Below are 21,802 nucleotides of genomic sequence, written 5' to 3' on the forward strand. Positions count from 1 at the left end.
GCTGGTATATAATAAAGCTATTATTCTTCATGTATAAATCCACAACTTTACTGAGTTGTCAATAAGTTTAGGAGTGTTACCATACATTTGTTTCTTTTTTATTGTTATGTAATTATGTTGTTTATTTTTTAAAAACTTTTTACTTCCTGCTATCAGCTATATTTCATATGTTTCATGCTTTATTGTACTGACAAGAAATTCCAGAATAATAAATATCATCTTAGTTTTTTTATTTTAAAGGGAATCTCTAATGTTTCACCATTGAGTATGACATTAAATACTGGTTTAAGAGATATGTATGTGTGGGTGCACAGACATACAAAATTTATTTTTTGGTTTATAATATACATAAATCATGTAAAAAATCTTATTTTTATAAGAATTATATTTTTTAAATTAACGACAGGTACTGAATTGTCAAATGTAATTTAGGAATCTATTGTGATCATCATATAGTTTATCTTAACTGAAACTGACCAAAGAGTCTAGTTACAGACTTCCTTTAAAAAATTCATATTCCTAGGATAAAATGTTACATATACATCCTGAATTACTCTTTTATGAGCATTTCTTTTTGAACTTTTTCATGTGCTTTATCCGGTGTTTTATTCATATGATTTGGATAGTTCTTCTACTAGAGTGTGATAGCACTCATAGAACAGGGGAATTATCTCATATCTGGAACTCGAATAAGCTCATTAGTAAAATTGGAAGAGCAACCCACGACCCCATGGTAAAAGGACAAAATTCCCAATAGATGAAGTTAAACGATTTATGGAGGAAGGGAAGGCAGTCCTTTGAAATGCTAGTATTACCATGGACATTTCTTTTTCTCTTTTTTCTTTTTTTTGAGACGGAGTCTCACTCTGTTACTCGGGCTGGTGCAGTGGCATGATTTCAGCTCACTGCAACCTCCACCTCCTGAGTTCAAGTGATTCTCCTGCCTCAGCCTCCCAAGTAGCTGGGATTACAGGTGCCCACCACCACGCCTGACTAATTTTTGTAATTTTAGACAGGGTTTCATCATGTTGGCCAGGCTGGTCTCGATCTCCTGACCTCAAGTGAGCTGTCCACCTTGGCCTCCCAAAGTGCTGGGATTACATGCGTGAGCCACCGCACCCAGCCACAGCTGACATTTCTGACGGCTTTGCTAGATACAGTCCTTGCCTGGAGGTTCACTTTCCCTTTGTAGCACTTCACCAACTATGCTGTACTTTCCTGATGCTGAGAGTTGGCCATGGCTGGTTTGTTTTATTTTGTTTTCCTACTGTACCAGAAATACTGCTCCATGTTTTCAGACAGTGTTATATAGGAGGAGAGGAGGAGAGAGTTTCTCCATTTCTGAACACAGGACCACTGCCTGTCCATTTCCCACCATCCCCATGTGTATCAGTTATCCAGTTCACAATAATGCTGTGCAAAAGTAATCAGAGGACCTCACTAGCATACAGCAGTAAGGGCTCATAGCTCAAGTGTCTGGAGTGGTCAGTTAGGTGGCTCTGCTGATCCTGGCTGAGATTACTGGCCCTGGAGTAATTACCACCCTGCAATCAGCTGGTTCTTTGCTGATTTAGGAAGTCTTTGGCTGGGAAGTTTAGGGTAATTCAGCTCTGCTCTGAGAACATCTGCAAGACAATGGTGTATGTGCAAGAGAGCAAGCAGGATCATGCAGTCTCTTAAGACCTGGGCTTGGAGCTGGCATACCCTCCATCACTACTACTGCATCCTGTTGGCCAAAGCCAATGTCAAGAGGCCAGCCCAAGCCAGGCGCGGTGGCTCATGCCTGTAATCCCAGGACTTTGGGAGGCCGAGATGGGCAGATCACCTGAGGTCAGGAGTGCGAGACCAGCCTGGCCAACGTGGCGAAACCCCGTCTCTACTAAAAATACAAAAATTAGCCAGGCATGGTGGCATGTGCCTGTAATTCCAGCTACTCAGGAGGCTGGGATAGAAGAATTGTTTGAACCCGGGAGGTGGAGGTTGCATCAGTGAGCCTAGATCACGCCACTGCACTCCAGCCTGGGCAACAGAGCAAGACTGTCTAAAATAAATAAATAAACAAACAAACAAACAAATAAATAAAGAGGCCAGCCCAGGCTTGAGGGGTGTCTCTTTAGTGAAAAGAACTGCAAAGGCGTGGATCCAGGGAGAGGTGGGGAACTGGCCGCCCTTGCAATCTACCACACCGTATCCCTTCTCCGTCTTCAGCTACTTCTACACATCAGTGATCCTGCATCTTTTCCTCTCACATCTTCTCTCCACCATAGTGTTTGGCCACAAGTTACCCCTCCCCTGCAGAAAAGACAGTGGCTTTCGTTAGCCCAGCACTTTAGCTGTCTCAGAGACCCAAAGGAGTAGCTGGGCCTTCCGGTCAGGGTAAGGAACAAGAACTGCTAAGTGAGCTGTTCAAGGCTCTCTCAGGTGGGAAGGGCTGGGGGAAAGAACACAGTCTCCACGGCTGGGTATGACTCAGGGAAGAATGGCCGTTGGGGAGCCATGTTCCACATCTCCACCTTACAGTGAATCAGGAATACAGAAAATCAAGGTTGAGGCTATACACAGTAACACTCACTAGTGGCACAGCTTTGTCCACATCAGCAAGTCTAAGTGCAGGCTCTGCTGTTGCTAACTGCCTGACCTCGGGCAAGCCTTCTATCTCTTAGGATATTTAAAAAACCAATGGGTTGGACGAGTCTCAGTGAGCCTTCCAGCACCAACCTTCCACACCTATAGATTTTATTTTGTTAACAAACCAAACTCTCTTCACACATATTCATTCTTCATGTCAACTTGTAGTACGACTATCTGCTCACAATTTTAAAAATCAGAAGAAACACCAACAACAGCATAACCTTCAACCCAACTTCTCCAGATGAGTATCACACCACCTCAGGTGAACAAAGGCGGGCTAAGATTATTATTCTATCAAAGCAGCTTCATGTAAAGAAAGAGAATGGAATGTGTACATTTTTCAGGGCAGTGCACATTCATCTGTGATTGAAGAATGATTCAGATCTGTTTCAAGCAATAATTTAATTTTTCACAGTGAAAATTATCATTTCCCCAATTTTCAGTTTTTTTAATTCAACTTATTTTTTGAATAGGTGATACATGTACATGGCTTTAAATTCACAAGCTACAAAATAATATAAAGTTTAAAAGTAAGTTTTCCTGTCACTCCTGCCCCTATGCAATTCAGTTGCTCTCCTCAGTGACAACCACAGTTACCACATGCTCGGTACATACAATAAGTGCAAGTGCATGTGTATGCAGGTGAGCAAGCATGTGTGCACACACACACTATTCTTTTTTTTTTTTTTTTTTATAGAGTCTCATTCTGTTGTCCAGGCTGGAGTGCAGTGGCATGATCTCGGCTGCATACTCCGCCTCCCAGGTTCAAACAATTCTCCTGCCTCTGCCTCCTGAGTATCTGGGACTGTAGGCACGCACCACCATGCCTGGCTAATTTTTGTATTTTTTAGTAGAGATGGGGTTTCACCATGTTGGCCAGGCTGGTCTTGAACGCCTGACCTCAAGTGATCCACCCATCTCAGCCTTTCAAAGTGCTGGGATTAAAGGCGTGAGCCACTGTGCCTGGCCTGTTCTTTTTAGACTATAAATGGTATTATCCTAAAAACATTATTTTCCATCTTGCTTTTTTCCCTCCTAATATTATATCGCAGACATTACTTCATAAAGAGTAGCCTCAGACTTTTCAAAGACTGTATCATATTCTGTTGTATAGCTATTCTATTTAACCAGTGCCTGAAAACTAATGAATATTTACGATGTTTTTGGTATTTTGCTCTTTTAAACAATGTTACCATGAGTACCTTTGTACACAGGGCATTTTGCACAGGTGCAAGAATATCTGTAGGATAAATTCCTACATAGTCACTCTCTGCACAACCATGTATTCATAACTTAGATACAGCCAAACCACTTCCAGAGACACTAGACTGGGGTTGCAAACTATATCCCACAGGTCAAATCTAGTCCACGAGCTAAGGATATTTTTATGTTTTTAAAGAGTTGTTTTAAAAAAAAGAAAAGAAGAAAAAGGAGAGGGAGAAGGAAGAACATGTGACAGAGACCTTATGAGGCCTTCAAATATTTACTATCTGGCCCTTTCAGAAAAACTTTCCTGAGCCCTACACCAATTTACAGCCCCATCAGCAATGTATAACAGTGAATGTTTTTCCACTATTTCCATTCTAATCTTTGTTCAAATTAAGATTTAAGGTAATGCTTCAAGTTTTGTTTCAGTTGAAGAAAATAAGGCACTCATAAAACACTTACATCATGGCACTATGATCTTTCCAGGCAAAAATATGGCTTGTTCTAGGACACAAACATAAAGCGACACTTGAACTTCTCGCCTCACATTCACAGGTGGTGAGAAAAGGTTAGAACCTCCAACTGTTAGAACCGGAAGGAACTTTAAAGGTTATCTGATGTAAGAGTTACAGATTCTGTGTACCATTAAAATTTCAAAACAAATTTAAAGGATTAAAACAATGTTGTCAATTTTTTATGTTGCCAATAAAGTCATTAAAAAATAAAAACAGACTGGGCACGGTGTCTCACGCCTGTAATCCCAGCACTTTGGGAGACCAAGACGGGCAGATTGTCTGAGCTCAGGAGTTCACGACCAGCCTGGGCAACACGGTGAAACCCCGTCTCTACTAAAACACAAAAAATTAGCCGGGCATGGCGGCATGCATCTGTAGTCCCAGCTACTTGGGAGGCTGAGGCAGGAGAATTGCTTGAACCTGGGAGGCGGAGGTTGCAGTGAGCCAAGAGCACACCACTGCACTCTAGCCTGGGTGACAGAGCGAGACTCTGTCTCAAAACAAAAACAAAAACAAAAACAAAAACAAAATCCAACCACCATCTACTTCTTTCACCATCACTTCATAAAGGAATTTAACATTAAAAGTAGGGCATTCCCAATATTAGAATAAAGGAGAGTCCATTACATTAAATATACTTACCTTCACGAAAAGCCAAACACATCACCATTTTCCTTCTGCCTTTGCTTCACATTGAGGAAAACTCCATGTCAAACCCATGTGGAAACCAACTTCACTGTTTCCTAAACAATCAAAAGACCCTATACCCAAATGAATGCTCAAGATTCAATTCTGGGCTGGGCACAGTGGCTCATACCTGTAATCCCAGCACTCTGAGAGGCCGAGGCGTGTGGATCGCACGAGGCCAGGAGTTCAAGACCAGCCTTGCCAACATGATGAAACTTTGTCTGTACTAAAAATACAAAAATTAGCTGGGCTTGGTGGTGCATGCCTGTAATCCCAGCCACTCAGGAGGCTGAGGCAGGAGATTCACTTGACCTGGGAGGCAGAGGTTGCAGTGAACCAAGATCACGCCACTGCACTCCAGCCTGGGCGACAGAGTAAGACCCAGCCTCAAAAAAAAAAAAAAAAAAAAAAAAGAAAAAGATTCAATTCTGATGACAATGAATTTATGGCAGACCTAGAACTAGAACCCAGGACCTATGTCTGCCAATCCCCCTAAATTTTCCCCTACACCACATTCTCCACATGTCCCAAAATCACAAAACAAATGACCAGCATAACTGGTCCCACAGCACCCCAGCCAGTCTCTTCCTTCCTACATCACTGCTCTTCCCTCTCAAGTGTGATCGCTTATCTCTCAGCCAAAATGTGTTTTCAGTCCTCTTCGCTGGGAGGCAGGGGAGCAAAACAACAACAAAACTGGACATTTTCTCTCTTCTTAGTAGCTGGAGAATCCTAAATTCATGCAGACTCAAATGGCAATCACCCATTCATTCTAAATGTGTTTTTCCCCCATCAATCCTTATAAATAGCCTCCACCTCACTCTCCTTTGCTGTGTAAGGTGGAGAGGGACTGGGGTCCCTGGAAACACATGCATGAGCTTCTATGGGCACTTAAGCATCAACCCAAGGGTCTTCCAGATGGTTGACAAGAGGCATCTCCTACAGCTTCTTCCACAAGAAGAACCAAAATAGCGAGTAGATAGTCACACTTCAAATAGATCATCTAAGACAGACCACTGGAATTCAACAGAGAAATGACAGGAAACATCTAAAGCAGGGAAGGAGACAGAAGCAAGGCAGCCTACTCTGCCAGGGTGGGCCGGCATCCAGGACAGGCTTCCCAATGGAGAGAAAGGGTAAGTGCCACATTCCCACCACGGACTCCTGCAATCTTAGCCACAAGAGAGCCCCTCCACTCTGGGGGGCCCAGAGACTAACCTAAGGCACTGCCTGGAGACTGTGCAACCAGAGACATTGCTCCAGACGGGGAACTCATGCTGGGTCCCACAAACCCCAAGTCTTAAGCACCTACAGCACAGTGCCACTTTGAAAGCCCAGCTCCCACCAGACTGCAACCAGTCCCGGGCCCAACAGCCCCTGCATCTCCACATCCCCGGAGTCCCACTGACATTTCTCCCCCTCAGCCACCATTGCAGGGGCCAAGAAGGCAGCCACTGGAAACAACTCGACCCAGTTTTCACCCCCTGCAGAGAGGCAGCTGTGCATTTTCACATGCCCCAGGACAATTCCACTGACCACAGCTAGTCATGCAGGTAGTTATGGGCCAAAGCTAGTGAAGTACACATCCCTCAGACCCCTGCCTATGGCTGCTCCCACTGAAAGCAACCCTGCCCTCCCCAGTAGCAGGGCCACAGCACACAGGCTGCTGCCTGCACCTGGCCATTTCCCCAGTGGCCTATAGGGATCACCCTACCCCTGCCTGGCTGTGGAGCCAGTGCCTACACACGCCACCAGGGGTGGGACAGAGGACAGCTTGACTGGGATTTATCCCAGGGATGCAAGCATGGTTAACATATGCAACTCCTCACATAAACAGAATAAAGGACAAAAACCACATGATCATTTCAACACACGTAGAAAAAGCATTTGATAAAATTCAATATTCCTCCATGATTAAAAAAAAAAAATTCTCAACAAACTCGGCCTAGAAGGAACATACTTCAACATAACAAAGGCCATATATGACAAACCCACAGGTAACATCATACTGAATGGGGAAAAGCTGAACGCCTTTCTTCTAAGAACTGGAATAAGACAAGGATGCCTACTTTTACCACTCCTATTCAACAAAGTACTGGAAGTCCTGGCCAGAGCAATCAGGCAACAGAAAGAAATAAAAGGCATCCACATCAGAAGAGAAAACGTCAAAGTGTCTCTCTTTGCTGATAATATGATCTTATAACTAGAAAAACCTAAAGACTCCACCAAAAAACTCTTAGATCTGATAAATAAATTCAGTAAAGCTTCAGGTACAAAATCAACACACAAAAATCGGTAGCATTTCTATACACCAATAATGAACTTGCTGAGAAAGAAATCAAGAAGGCAATCCCATTTACAATAGCTATAAAAAATAGAATATCTAACAATAAATTTAACCAAGGAGGTTGTCTTAGTCCATTTGTGTAGCTACATCTGAGGCTGGGTAATCTATAAAGAAAAGAGGTTTATTTGGCTAATGGTTCTACAGGCTGTACAAGAAGCACAGCACCAATATCTGCTACTGGAGAGGGCTTCCCGGCTGCTTCTACTCATGGCAGAAGGAGAACGGGAGCTGTTGTATGCAGAGATCATATGGTGAGAGAGAGGAAGCAAGAGGGAGGGGAAGAAAGCACCAGGCTTTTTTTAACAAGTACCTCTTGTGGGAAATAATAAAGTGAGAACTATCCACCCAGGAAGGACATTAATCTATTCATAAGGGATCTGCTCCAATGACCTAAACACCTGCCATGAGGCCCCATCTCCAACATGGGAAATAAATTTCAACACGAGGTTTCGCAAGTCAAATATCCAAACTATAGCAGAGGTAAAGGATCTCTATAAGGAAAATTACAAAACACTGATGAAAGAAATTAAAAAGAACACAAACAAATGGAAAGACATCCCATGCTCAAGGATCAGAAGAATTCATATTGTTAAAATAAACATACTGCCCAAAATACCAACATCATTTTTCACAGAAATAGACAATCGTAAAACTCATATAGAACCATAAAAGAGCCCAAATAGCAATACTGAACAAAGCTGGAGGCATCACACTACCTGACTTCAAAATATATTACAAGGCTATAGTAACCAAAACGGATGGTATTGGTATAAAAACAGACACAGAGACCAATGGAATAGAATAGAGAACCCACAAATAAATCCACATATTTGTAACCAACTGATTTTCGACCAAGCCTCCAAAAACACACATTGGGAAAATGACACCCCATTCAATAAATGGTGTTCAGAAAATTGGATTGCCATATGCAGAAGAATGAAACTGGACCACTATCTTTCAACATATATAAAAATCAACTCAAGAGAGATTAAAAACTTAAACATAAGAACCAAAACTATAAAACTGCTAGAAGAAAACATAGGAAAAACACTTCAGGACATTGGTCTAGGCAAGGGCTAAAACCTCAAAAGCACAGGAATAAAAAAAAAAATAGAAAAATCGAACTATATTAAACTAAAAAGCTTCTGCACAGCAAAGGAAACAATCAGCAGAGGGAAGAGACAACCTGTTGAATGGAAGAAAATATTTGCCAACTCTTCATCAAACAAAGGACAAATATCCAGAATATACAAGAAACTCAAACAACTCAACAGTGAACAAACAAATAAATAATTCCATTGAAAAGTGAGCAAAGGACATGAATAGACATTTTTTAAAAGAGGATGTACAAATGGCCAAGAAGTATATGAAAAAAAAAAATGCTCAACATCACTAGTCATCAGAGAAATGCAAATCAAAACCACGAGATCTCTTACCCCAGTTAGAATGGCTATTACTAAAAAGACAAAAAAATGCTGGCAATGATGTGGAAAAAGGGAACTCTTACACACTATTGGTGGTAATACAAATTAGTATATCCATTGTGGAACAAAGTTTGGAGATTTAAAAAAAAAAAAAAACTAAAAATAGAACTATAGTATGATCCAGCCATCCCACTACTAAGTATTTATCCGAAGGAAAATAAATCAGTATGTCAAAGGGTAGGTACGCGTGCATTGCAGCACTATTCACAATAGTTTATTGCAGCACTATTCACAATAGCAAAGATATGGAATCAACCTAAGTGTACATCAATGGACGAACGAGTAAAGAAAATATGGTATATATACATAATGGAATACTATTTGGCCATAAGAAATGAAATCCTGTCATTTGCATCAACATGGATGGAACTAGAGATCACTATGTTAAGTGAAATAAGCCAGGCACAGAAAAACAAATACTACTCATATGTAGGAGCTAAAAAATAGTTGATGTCATGGAAGTAGAAAGTAGAATGATAGACACTAGAGGCTGGGAAGGGAGAGGGCGATGAAAAGAGGTTAATGGGTACAAACCTAGACTTAGATAGAAGGCATAAGTTCCAATATTCAAGAGCAGAGTACGGCCAGGCACGGTGGTTCATGCCTGTAATCCCAGCACTTTGAGAGGCCAAGGTGGGAGGCTCATAAGGTCAAGAGATCGAGACCATCCTGGCCAATGTGGTGAAACCCCATCTCTACTAAAAATACAAAAATTAGCTGGGCATGGTGGCATGTGCCTGTAGTCCCAGTCACTCGGGAAGCTGAGGCAGGAGAATCCCTTGAACCTGATAGGCGGAGGTTGCAGTGAGCTGAGATCGCGACACTGCACTCCAGCCTGGTGACAGAGCAAGACTCCATCTAAAGAAGAAGAAGAAAAAAAACTAGAGTAGGGTGACTGTAATAGTTACAAACCATGTATTGCAGTATTTCAAAATAACTAGAAGCAAAAACCTGAAATGCACCCAACACAGAGAAATGATAAATACTAAAGGTGATGGGTACCCTGACTTGATCATTACATATTCTATGCATGTAACAAAATATGACATGTACCCCATAAGTATGTAAAATATCATGTATCCATTTTTTAAACCCACAATCAAAAAAATAAACAAAAAAGAATTAGCTTCCCCTGAAATTAAGAGCCAAGGATACTTCAACGGGCTTGGATACAGAGCTACCGAAACACAGCATCTTTATCAGATCCAAGACCTGGCCTTCCTCTGCCCTCCCTGGTGCTCTTTCATCCAACATTTGGCTTTCTTCTGTGTGCATGGCACCATTCATTTGCTCCTGTGGCTGCTCATGTATCTGTCCTGACATAGGAGTCAGCCTCATTTTGTGCCATCTACCACGAGGGTGCAACCCTCCTTCTAGTACAGCTATGTCAGCCCCTGCCACTCAGACACCCAGCCCCTGCTCTGTGCTGCTAGGCACTATGGTTTCCAGCTAGCCCTGCAGCTAAAGCTAAATGATGCTCTGGACTGCAAAGCTTCCCATAGTCCTTCCAGCATCATAAGAAAAATCCATTTGAGAGCAGTGAGCATTGACAATAGCTTTAATAAATAACAGTGTTGGCTCAATCTGCTCTATTTTCAATTAAGATTTTAGCTCTCACACAGCAGGGTTTTAATAGGACTCCTAAGCCTAGGAGTAGGTCATTGAGAATTTATAACACCTTTTTTAATGAACCAAATAGCAAGACTTTTGCCGCCATCCCAGGTTGCTTTTGTATTTGTTTTTAAGTCTTCTTCTGTCTCCCATTGCTCCAAAACATAGTTGAGGACATTTTCCTCTCATGAAACTATGTTACTCCTTCCCCACTAGTAATTACTACCTCAGTTTCTTATTCCCTTACAAAGCTTTTTAATAGGACTAGTAATCCAAGGGAGAAACTAATTAGTAGATGGAATTTTTCCTTGTAATATGCTGTGGTCAAAAACATGCAAATTCTCACCAGGATCCCAAGAAATGAAACACATATCCCAAGAAGACTCAATATAGGAAAGGGGAGATGTGATCTCTCTGCCAATACTTCATGTTTCCCTCAAGATGACTTCTGCAGGTTTTGGCAGCAGGCTCCAGATAACATCACATCCCTATAAATCAGCTCCGCCGTGCAGATGTGATTTAGTTAGTTATTCCCAGGAACAACAGGAGGTTGATTTGGACTTCATATTGGAGGTAAATGAAGGGGCCAGCCTTAGAGACTCTGACCTCTTTGTTGTGGGACAGAGGGACTATCTTGCTTACTACACCAAGGTATTAGCTTCCTGGCTTGAAGTTTGTATTCCAAGATGTGTCCCACTGAAGAGATGGGCAGGAGATGACAGGACTCAAATACGCCTTCAGAGTCATGAAATGGTGGACATAGAAGAGGCCACAGGGGTTATCAAGGAAAACAGCGAGTTAAACGGACACATGAATAGAAGAATGGTGAATGAAATAGGACAGATATGTATGCATAAATTTTCCCAATGTCAAGGTTTGTGATATGCCACATGCTTGGGCCTTTTTTCAACCTTTCCACTCATTCAACAAATAGTTATTGTGTGCCTAATGGGTACCAGGTTCCCAACAGTACTAAGCACTAGGGAAATGGTGGTGAACTAGACTCTTTTTTTTTTTTTTTTTTTTGAGACAGGGTCTTTCTCTGTCACCCAGGCTAGAGTGCAGCGATGCAATCATGGCTCATGGCAGTCTCGACCTCCCAGGCTCAAGCGATCCTCCCACCTCAACCTCCCGAGTAGCTGGAACTACAGGTGTGTGTCACCATGTCTGGCTAATTTTTAAATTTTTCTTGTAGAGACAGGGTCTCTATATGTTGCCCTGGCTGGTCTCAAACTCCTGGACTCAAGCAATTCTTCTGCCTTGGCCTCCCAATGCGCTGGGATTATAGGCGTGAGCCACCACGTTTATCCAACATTTCTCTTTTTTTTTTTGAGACAGGGTCTCGGTCTGTTGCCTGGGTTGGAGTGCAGTGGCATGATCATGGCTCACTTGATGGCATGCCTTGACTTCCTAGGCTCTAGCGTTCTTCCCACCTCAGCCCCACAAGTAGCTGGGACTACAGGCACATGCCACCACGCCCGGCTAATTTTTGTATTTTTTGTAGAGACAGGGTTTTGCCATGTTGCCTAGGCTAGTTTCAAACTCCTGGACTCAAGTGATCCTCCTGCCTTGACCTCCCAGAGTGCAGGGATTACAAGCATGAGCCACGGCACCCGACCGACATTTCTTCACATCGCTTACAGTCTAGAGTTTACAGTTTAGTTAATAAACAAAATTACAACTGCTGCCCATTAAAAAAAACAAAACAACAACAACAACAAAAAAACGCATGTCAAATGGTTGGAGAAGGAAGAGTTTAATACATTTACTGATATTCTGAACAACTGAGAATTATCATAGATAGAATAAAAGGGTTCTCAATTTATCAATAAGTAGACTTACCTTAACTACTTTACATATATATATGTAAACCAAAATAACAATTCTATTCATTCAGAAAATGTTTATTGAGGACCAGCTATATGCTAGTCACAAAGTGACTGACAAAAGTCCTGTCCTGGGCAGGGCACAGTGGCTCACGCCTGTAATCCCAGGACATTGGGAGGCCGAGGCAGGTGGATCACTTGAGGTCAGGAGTTCGAGACCAGCCTGGCCAATATGGTGAAACCCCATCTCCATTAAAAATACAAAAATTACCCAGGCATGGTGGCACATGCCTGTAATCCCAGCTATTTAGGAGGCTGGGGCAGGAGAATGGCATGAACCCGGGAGGCAGAGGTTGCAGTGAGCTGAGATCGCACCATGGCACTCTAGCCCAGGCAACAGAGTGAGACTCTGTCTCAAGAAAAAAAAAAAAAAAAAAAAAAAAAATCCTGTCCTTAATGAGCTCATAATCTAAATAAAAAGATGAAAAAAACTAACAAAGAGCTTCAATATGGGTGACAAAGTCTTTAACGAAGGATGGAAAAATTCTGAGAGAATGGGGTGGGGCAGGTTATTACCTTATTAGGGCTGGGAGGAGGGCAGTACTTGGGACTTGAAGCTGAGCCTTGAAGGGTGAGTGAGGTGATACCAGAAGGAAGGAGTTGAGGAGTCCCTTTCAGATGGAGGGAACAGCATGTACATTCCTAACTGAAAATAGTGCCTGCTGGGTGGGCAGGGAGTGCATCTGGGCAGCAGCCAAAGAGAAGCCTAGAAAGGGAGACAGAGGCCACACCCTGAAGGACTCTGTCGGCCCTGACAGTGTGGCTGGACTTGATCTTGTGGGCAATGGAAGGCCACCGCTGTGTCTTGACCGACAACATGATTAGATCTGCATGTCGGAAACGTGGTTCTGGCTGACCTAACATGTACTTCCTCCATCACTGAAGTTGTGGCTGCAGATGGAAAAACCAGAGGAAGGGAAATGGCCCAGGTGAGCAACGTTGGTGAGGTGGCAGAAGGAGAAGCATCTTCATTTTTTCTTTCAACTTTGATTCCAATGAAAGAAACATATCTAAAAAGAGTTTATCCATTATGACTCAGTCTGATCTCTTCATAAACACTAAATCCTACAATCATATTACAAGAGGAATAAAACTGCTTGACCTAGTAATTTCTTGTTTTGAGACAGGGTCTTGCTCTGTTGCCCAGGCTGGAGTGCAGTGACTCACTGCAGCCTCAACCTCGTGGGTTCAAGCCATTCTCCTACCTCAGCCTCCTGTGTAGCTGGGACTACAGGCACACAAGCCACCATACCTAGCTAACTTTTAAATTTTTTTGTAAAGACAAGGTCTCACTATTTTGCCGAGGCTGGTTTTGAACTCCTGTGCTCAAGTAATCTGCCCACCTTGGCCTCCCAAAGTGCAGGATTACAAGCATGAGCCCCAGCCCCTGGCTGATCTAGTGATTTCATTAAGGAATTCCCAAGAAAACAATCTAGATGAGAGAAAATAATTTTTCTCAAAGATGTTTTTAACTATGCTACTTAAAATAGCCAACAAATGAAAATAATCCAAACATCTAAAAATAAAGGATGGTTAAGCCAAATGTCATCTATCAACATGACTAAATACTACATAAACATTAAATTAACTACAGCCATGCATGGGAATGTGTATGGGAGCAAAAGCAGACTCCAAAACATGATATGCACAACAGCTACAAGCTTAAGTACCTACTATGTGCCAGGCCCAATGCTAGGTTCTGGGGACACAGAAATACACCAGACAAGGTCCCTGTCTTCTGAACTCACAGTTCACTAGGAAAGTTGGACTCACACAATTGTAACAAGAACAAAGCATGGCACAAAGAGAGCCCAGAGGAGGAGTTGCCCAACTTAGAGCCAACACACAAACACAACACAAATGTGAATGTTCAAGTCTGCAGCAGAATCACTCATCAATTATAAATTTTGATGACCCCAAACACATACTTGTTAATTTTGTGGGTCAGGTGTGGTGACTCACACTGTAATCCCAGCACTTTTGGAGGGTGAGGCAGGCAGATCACCTGAGGTCAGGAGTTCAAGGCCAGCCTGGACAACATGGTGAAACCACGTCTCTACTAAAAATACAAAAAAAATCAGCCAGTCATGGTGGCATATGCCCAGCTACTTAGGAGGCTGAGGCACAAGAATCGCTTGAACCTGGGAGGTGGAGGTTGCAGTAATCTGAGATTGCGCCACTGCACTCCAGCCCGGGCAATAGAGCGAGATTCCGTCTCAAAAAAACAAAAATTGTTAGATTATCCCGGACATGTAAAACCTAAGATGAGGAACACTCAAATCCCCAAGAATATTGCATGGAGCCTTTTAAGAGTCCTTGGATGCTAGTTTGAGAAACAAAGATCTAATAGCAGGAAGGTGCCTGTATTCGTCCATTTTCACACTGCTATAAAGATACTACCTGAGACTGGGTAATTTATAAACAAAAGAGGTTTAATTGACTCAGTTCTGCACGGCTGGGAAGGCCTCAGGAAACTTAGAATCATGGTGGAAGGCAAAGAGGAAACAAGGCACGTCTTACATGGCAGCAGGAGAGAGGTGGGGAACTGCCAAACACTTTTAAACCATCTGTTCTTGTGAGAACTCACTATCACAAGAACATCATGGGGAAAACCACTGGGGATTACAATTCGAGATGAGATTTGTGTGGGAACACAGCGCCAAACCAAATTAGCTCCAGTGGACAGGAAGGGAGACAAAGGCCCAATAGCATCTGGCTCCTGATTAGGGTCAAGAGGGAGGAAGAGTCAGAGATGATGTCAAAGTTTGAAGCCTCTGCATCTGGAAAAATGGCAACAGGGCTCCCTGATATAAGAAACCTAAAAGAAAAGATCAGGTTTGAGAGTAAGAATAAGTTCTATTTTTCATATATTGAGTTTAAGAAACATTAGAGAGTAGGAAAGTGGTGGTATTCAGGAATTTGCTGAAAATTATCTCTGGAGACTTGGAGACACAGAGTAGAGACCCAGTATCCAAAGACATCTTCCAGGCTGGGCGTGGTAGCTCACGCCTGCAATCCCAGCACTTTGGGAGGACGAGGTGGGAGGATCACTTGAGTTCAGGAGTTCAAGCCCAGCCTAGCCAACATAGTGAAACCCCGTCTCTACTAAAAATACAAAAAAATTAGCCAGGTGTGGTGGTGTGTGCCTGTAGTCCCAGCTATTTGGGAGGCTGAGGCTGGAGAACTGCTTGAACCCGGGAAGCGGAGGCTACAGTGAGTGGAGATCATGCCACTGCACTCCAGTCTGGGTGACACAGCGAGACTCCATTTCAAAAAAAAAAAAACAAAGTCATCTTCCAGAGATAGCTGAAGCTTGAAATGGATGCTGCACAACAGGTATGAACACATCCAACTGCATTATTACATGTACAAGATACTCTCCTGTTAGTCCCTCACATATTTGTTAGGCATCTACTTACTTTCAAAGGATTAGCTCCTTAAAATTAATAAAAACAGGGATATAGTATAAAGGATCAGAGTGAATACATTGATCTCGTATTTTTTCCATGGGAAAAATTCTCTACTTTTATAACGAATACAGTTTGAAAGATGATTTGATTTTAAAAAGGATTAATATTAAAGCTTATTTTTTCTACAGTGATTTATTTCATGATCATCTTCCTTCTAGCCTGTGAACTTCCAAGATAAGGACTGTGGAACTATGCCTTATTTAAATTGCTAACAAGGTACCTGGAAAATAGTAAATACTTAATATTTGTGGTAGAAGTTTTGTAAACAGAAGAATACTTTGTTGTGGCTCTCAAACATCAGGAAGTTGCAGAGTACTATATGAGAGCATTTGTGTGTATGTACATACTACTGAATTCTACTGCGGTAAACAATCTGGGCTTCCAGTGTGGAGGTGGATGCTTTCATTCATTTGAAATCTACAATTACTCACATGTAAATTAGCAGCAATGCAGAAAATGTGAGAAATTCAGAATTAGTTTATCTTTTTAGAACTACCGAGATTCTTTTTGTGTTTGTGATCTATATGTGCCAACACTACAATTGTGTTATTTCCAGAAATAACTCAAAAAGACATTTTCAATGATGAGTTTTGAGTAGCAAAACTGGAAAGGATATTGTCAATCTGTTGTACATTTATGATGTGCACAATCTAGACTTTCCTTCACAAATATGCTTCAATGCACAGAAGAAGGTGAAAACAACACCATAAATCTCAGGGCTGCAGAGGGAGAGCTGAAGGGGTAAAAAACGCAATTGGAGTTCATTCACCAGGTTGGACAATGAAACACCAGCTCTTGCTCTGCTTCTACTTGCTGAAACAGACGTCCCCAAGAAGATAAAGGGAAGATACTTTGTACCCTTCCTGACCCTCTTTCTTCCTATACCTTTATTGTTCATGAAGACAAATGGTATGAAATTTTAGTGAAAAAGTCCAAGCTTGGGTTGAGGGAAGTATTTGGTTTACTTAAATCCATTGCTGAGGTTTATGGAACATATCAGAGCTTCCCAAAGTCTAAAAAATTTAGACTTCTAGGTCCTATCATAGAAATGCTGATTCTGTAAGTCTGGGGTGAGCCTGGGAATTTGTATTTCCTGAAAGCCCCACTCACTTCCACAACTGATTCTAATAACCAGCCCAGTTTGTGAACCATGAACGAGAGACTACACTCAGACTTGGCAAACATAAACTGTCTCACTTGATTCTGACAAATCAAGTGCATGTCAATCATCTCTATTTCACAGATGTGAAAAATAAGTCACAAGCCTGTATGCGTCAGTTTAGAGGTCATAGTGCAATGCTGCCTCCATTACACCATTATTTGAGCACCAAATTTCTGAGCATAGGTGAACTCTAACCTGATCTTGGGTCTCATCTCACAGACTATTCATGCAACCAACCAATAACTGTGGTGTGCCTGAACAGTTCTTGCACCTGTCCATAGTTCAGAGAGACCTCTGCATCCCAAATAACCACTATTCACTACATAAGCACTAAAAAAATCCATTCAAATAGAACTTCAATAAATTTGTATTAGAGCACACAGCTTGTAATACTCAACTAATTTCATTTTATAACCAGTAATGAGAAATTATCTGAAAATGAATAAAGAAAACAAATAGATCTTTCCAAACCCACTTCTGTAAAGGAAACAATATCCTTGCCCTTACTACTTCTGTAACATTCTGCTGAATGCTAATTGCTTTATTTTAATTTTAATGCAAAATTCTACATTTCTGATTAATGCAACTTACCAGGATCCCAAAGAATAGAAATGAGATCCCATGTCATCAAGAAAGGGTGCCATGAGCATCAAGTAGAGGTGTGTGAGGGAGAGAGAGAGGAGGCAGCAAGTGATGAAGGCGGAAGACTGAAATGTCCTGGTTTCAGTTGGGTTTCTGGTTTTCTATCCATGTCACTCTGCATTACCTCCTGAATAGGTAGACGGACTTTGGCAGAAAAGGATGGCTCACATACTGGAAAACAATTGCACGCATACCTGGAATACATTAGAGGAATCTCTAATGCTTTAGGGCAAAGGGTGGCAAATTACAATCCACCGGCCAAATCCAGCCCATGACCTGTTTTCGTATTATCCACAAGCTAAGGATGGTTTTTACATGTTTAAATGATTGAAAAAAAATCAGAATAATAGTATTTTATGACATGTGAAAATGATATGAAATCCAGATTTCAGCATCCATAAGTAAAGTTTTATTGGAACACAACCACATTCATTCATTTCATGTGTTGTCTATGGTTGCTTTCACATTTTAAGGCAGAGTTAAGTCATTGCAATAAGAGACCCTATGGCCCACAAAGCCTATATTTCCTATCTGCCTCTTCACAGAAAAAGTTTGTGAACTCCCATTTTAGGGCAAAGGAGGGGTGTTAGGTTACTTCCTGAAAACTGACTCTGACCTAGCCTTAGTTTGCTGAATATGAAATAAAATACTGAACTTAGAATCATCTGAAATACATTTCCTTTGATATTGACCTGTAAGGTATAACACAATCTAGTTATCCCTGCCTGAGTGTCCCAGTATTGAATTGAGACTATTCCTGTGGCTTCTTAGCCCAAAAACAGGGGCGGGGAAGGCCTTCTGCACATTCAACTCCATTACTGGAATGATGAACGCATAAAGAGAGGAGCCCAGCATACTAACCCAGCAGAGCCCTCTGCACAGGCTGCGTTTGAGCCTTCCTTTTAGCAAAGGGAATAGGTAGCTTTACCCTGTCAGCAACTATCTCGAGCACTGCTGTCATTTTCCCAGCATTGATATTCAAAAATCAGAACTGCGGGCCGGGCGCAGTGGCTCACACCTGTAATCCCAGCACTTTGGGAGGCTGAGGCGGGTAGATCACGAGGTCAGGAGTTCAAGACCAGCCTGACCAACGTGGTGAAACCCTGTCTCTACTAAAAATATAAAAATTAGCTGCGCTTGGTGGTGCGCACCTATAATCCCAGCTACTCAGGAGGCTGAGGCAGGAGAATCGCTTGAACCTGGGAGGCGGAGATCGCAGTGAGCCGAGATCATGCCACTGCACTCCGGCCTGGGTGACAGAGCGAGACTCTGTCTCAAAAAAAAAAAAAAATCAGAACTGTGGCATGTAAAACATAATTCAGAGTTGAATAGCAGGAGCCGCTGTCCTCCCTTCTGCTGAAGGCAGGAGGGAAGCTTGTCAGAGTCCAGACAGTTCTGGTCTATTAGCAGCAGCCTAATTTTTGCCATCTCTGAAGGCAACACAAATTACAAAGCATTCGCTACTGTTGTACCAGTCAACTAATTCAATTGTCAGAACATTTCAAACCCCATAATTTGGATGGGAAAGAGAGGGAGAGCCTTGCTCTTATGAATTGACTGTTGGACTATTCCATGTCACAGCTTGCTTGGGGGTGAGAATAAGAAAATATTCTCTATCAGGAAATTAACATTTGTAAGTACCCTGGAAAGCTAAATAATAAGCATAATGGTTTAGAATGAAAGTAACCAAAGCGGTTCATTATTAACATTGCAAGTAAACATTTTAATTTGTGGCTTTGCTACACACATGGATTGTTGGGTCAACTGTTAGAGTATTTTCACTCATCTTTCAAACTACACATAATTCAGTCCTCTTTGCCAGTGTTTTTACCTAAACCCTCTGTGAATGACACTTTCTAGTTTCATGATATAACTAGTCCTTAGATTCCAAGGTAATAAAGGCGCCCTTCTACTCAAAAACTTCATGGGCTTATTTCCCTCTTGCAAACTTAAGTATGCTTTAATGAGCCATTACACTCATTTGAATTCCAGCTCTGCGAGGGACTAGCTGGATGTGTACGGATCCAAAACCTCATTTCCCTGAGCCCCACTCTCCACCTGAGAAAATGAGATTAATGCCACTACTTCAAGTGGTGGTTTTTGACTCAGTAAATTTACTTTAAAAACCATTGAATTATACATTTAAAACAGGTTAGTCTTACAATATATGAATCATTCCTCAAGAAAGTTATTAAAATTTTAATTTGAAGAACTGCTCAAGACCAGCCTGAGTAACATAGCAAGACCCCACCTCTAAAGAAAAAAAAAATTTTAATTGTACTTAAAAGAAGGCCGGGCATGGTGGCTCACACCTGTAATCTCAGCCCTTTAAGAAGCTGACGCAGGAAGATCACTAGAGGCCAGGAGTTCCAGACCAGCCTGGGCAACAAAAGAAGACTCCCAACTCTACAAAAAATAAAAATTAATAATGTGATTAAAAGTAAAAATAAAAAGAGGCAGCCATGAACAATAAACTATCAGTGAATAAAGCAAGAGAGGACTGTCTGCAGAATAAAGAGTGCAATTGTAAGATAAAGGAAAACGTGCTGTTTGAGCAGAAGAGACCAGGAGAAGGTCAGAGTAGCTAGATCATGCTTGAGGAGAAAAGATGGGACTTACAAAGAATGTGTTCAGATGCCATGTCCTGTTTAAAATTAAATTCCCCTGACACCACAACACCTCTCTCCTGTCTGGAAAAGTTAATTACCTTTTTTCTAGGCTGTATTTTAGATATGTTTTTGCTAATGCAGTCATCACACTGCATGGTAACTATTTGTTTAAAAGTCTGATCCTCAGTAAACTAAGTTCTTACGGCTCAGGGGCCATGTGTTTTGGCAGCCCTAGTCCATAACTCAGCCCAAGAATGTGAGATAAATGAATGAATAATTTTGTTGCTTACTGCAAAAAGGAAAAAGACGGTTTTGAAGAGTCAGTGAAATATACATATGTATATGCAAAACGTGTGTATGTATTAGCACAATGCCTTGCACATAGCGATCATTAAGTGATTTTTTTATTATTACTAGTAAAACATGCCAAGAACTGCACTACAGTTCAAGTCAATTTTGAAGCAAGTTTGGTCTAACAACAACAACAACAAAATGTTCGAACGCATGGAAAATAAGTAGACCTAAATTTAGATGATCCCCTGCCCTATTACTAAGGTTTAAAGGCCTAGATATGGGCCAGACTTCAAAAAGCCTCACAGAACCATCTACAATTTGAGATCAGAATCCTCCACATTCACTGTTAGCAGCAATTCTACTCTCACTAAACCTTGTGCTTGCAGGCTTGTCGCCATTTGAGTAGCAGTTGATGGGCTTTCTGAGGATTCGTTCTTCAAGATTTTGGTCTGAATAACAGAGGAAATGGATAAATTCCTGGACATACAACCTACCAAGACTGAAACAAAAAGAAACGGAAAACCTGAACAGACCAATAATGATTAATGAAACTGAATCAGTAATAAAAAATCTCCCAAAAAAAGAGAAACCCAGGACCAGATGACTGTCTTGTGGAAACCTACAAGACTTATAAAGAAGAACAACACGAATTCTTCTCAAAGTATTCCAAAAAATTAAAGAGGAGAAAATTCTTCCTAATTCATTCTATGAGACCAGCATTATCCTGATACCACAACCAGACAAGGACCCAGCAAAAAAAAAAAAAAAAAAATAGAACTACAGGTCGGGCATGGTGGCTCATGCCTATAATCCCAGCACTTTGGGAGGCCAAGACAGGTGGATCACCTGATGTCAGGAGTTCAAGACCAGCCTGGCCAACATGGTAAAACCCCATCTCTACTAAAAATACAAAAAATTAGCCGGGCGTGGTGGCGGGCACCTGTAATCCCAGCTACTCATGAGGCTGGGGCAGGAGAATTGCTTGAACCTGGGAGGCAGAGGTTGGAGTGAGCAGAGATTAGGCCATTGCACTCCAGCCTGGGCAACAAGAGAGAAACTCTGTCTCAATAAATAAATAGATAAATAAATAAATAAATAAAAAAATAAATAAATAAATACTACAGGCCAGTATCTCTGATGAATATAAATACAAAAATTTCTCAACAAAATACTAGCAAGCTGAATCCAACAACACGTCAAAGGGATTTATCTCAGGGATGCAAGGATGGTTCAACACACACAAATCAATAAATACATC

Source organism: Homo sapiens, chromosome 12, assembly GCF_000001405.40.
Source record: "Homo sapiens chromosome 12, GRCh38.p14 Primary Assembly".
NCBI lineage: Eukaryota > Metazoa > Chordata > Mammalia > Primates > Hominidae > Homo > Homo sapiens.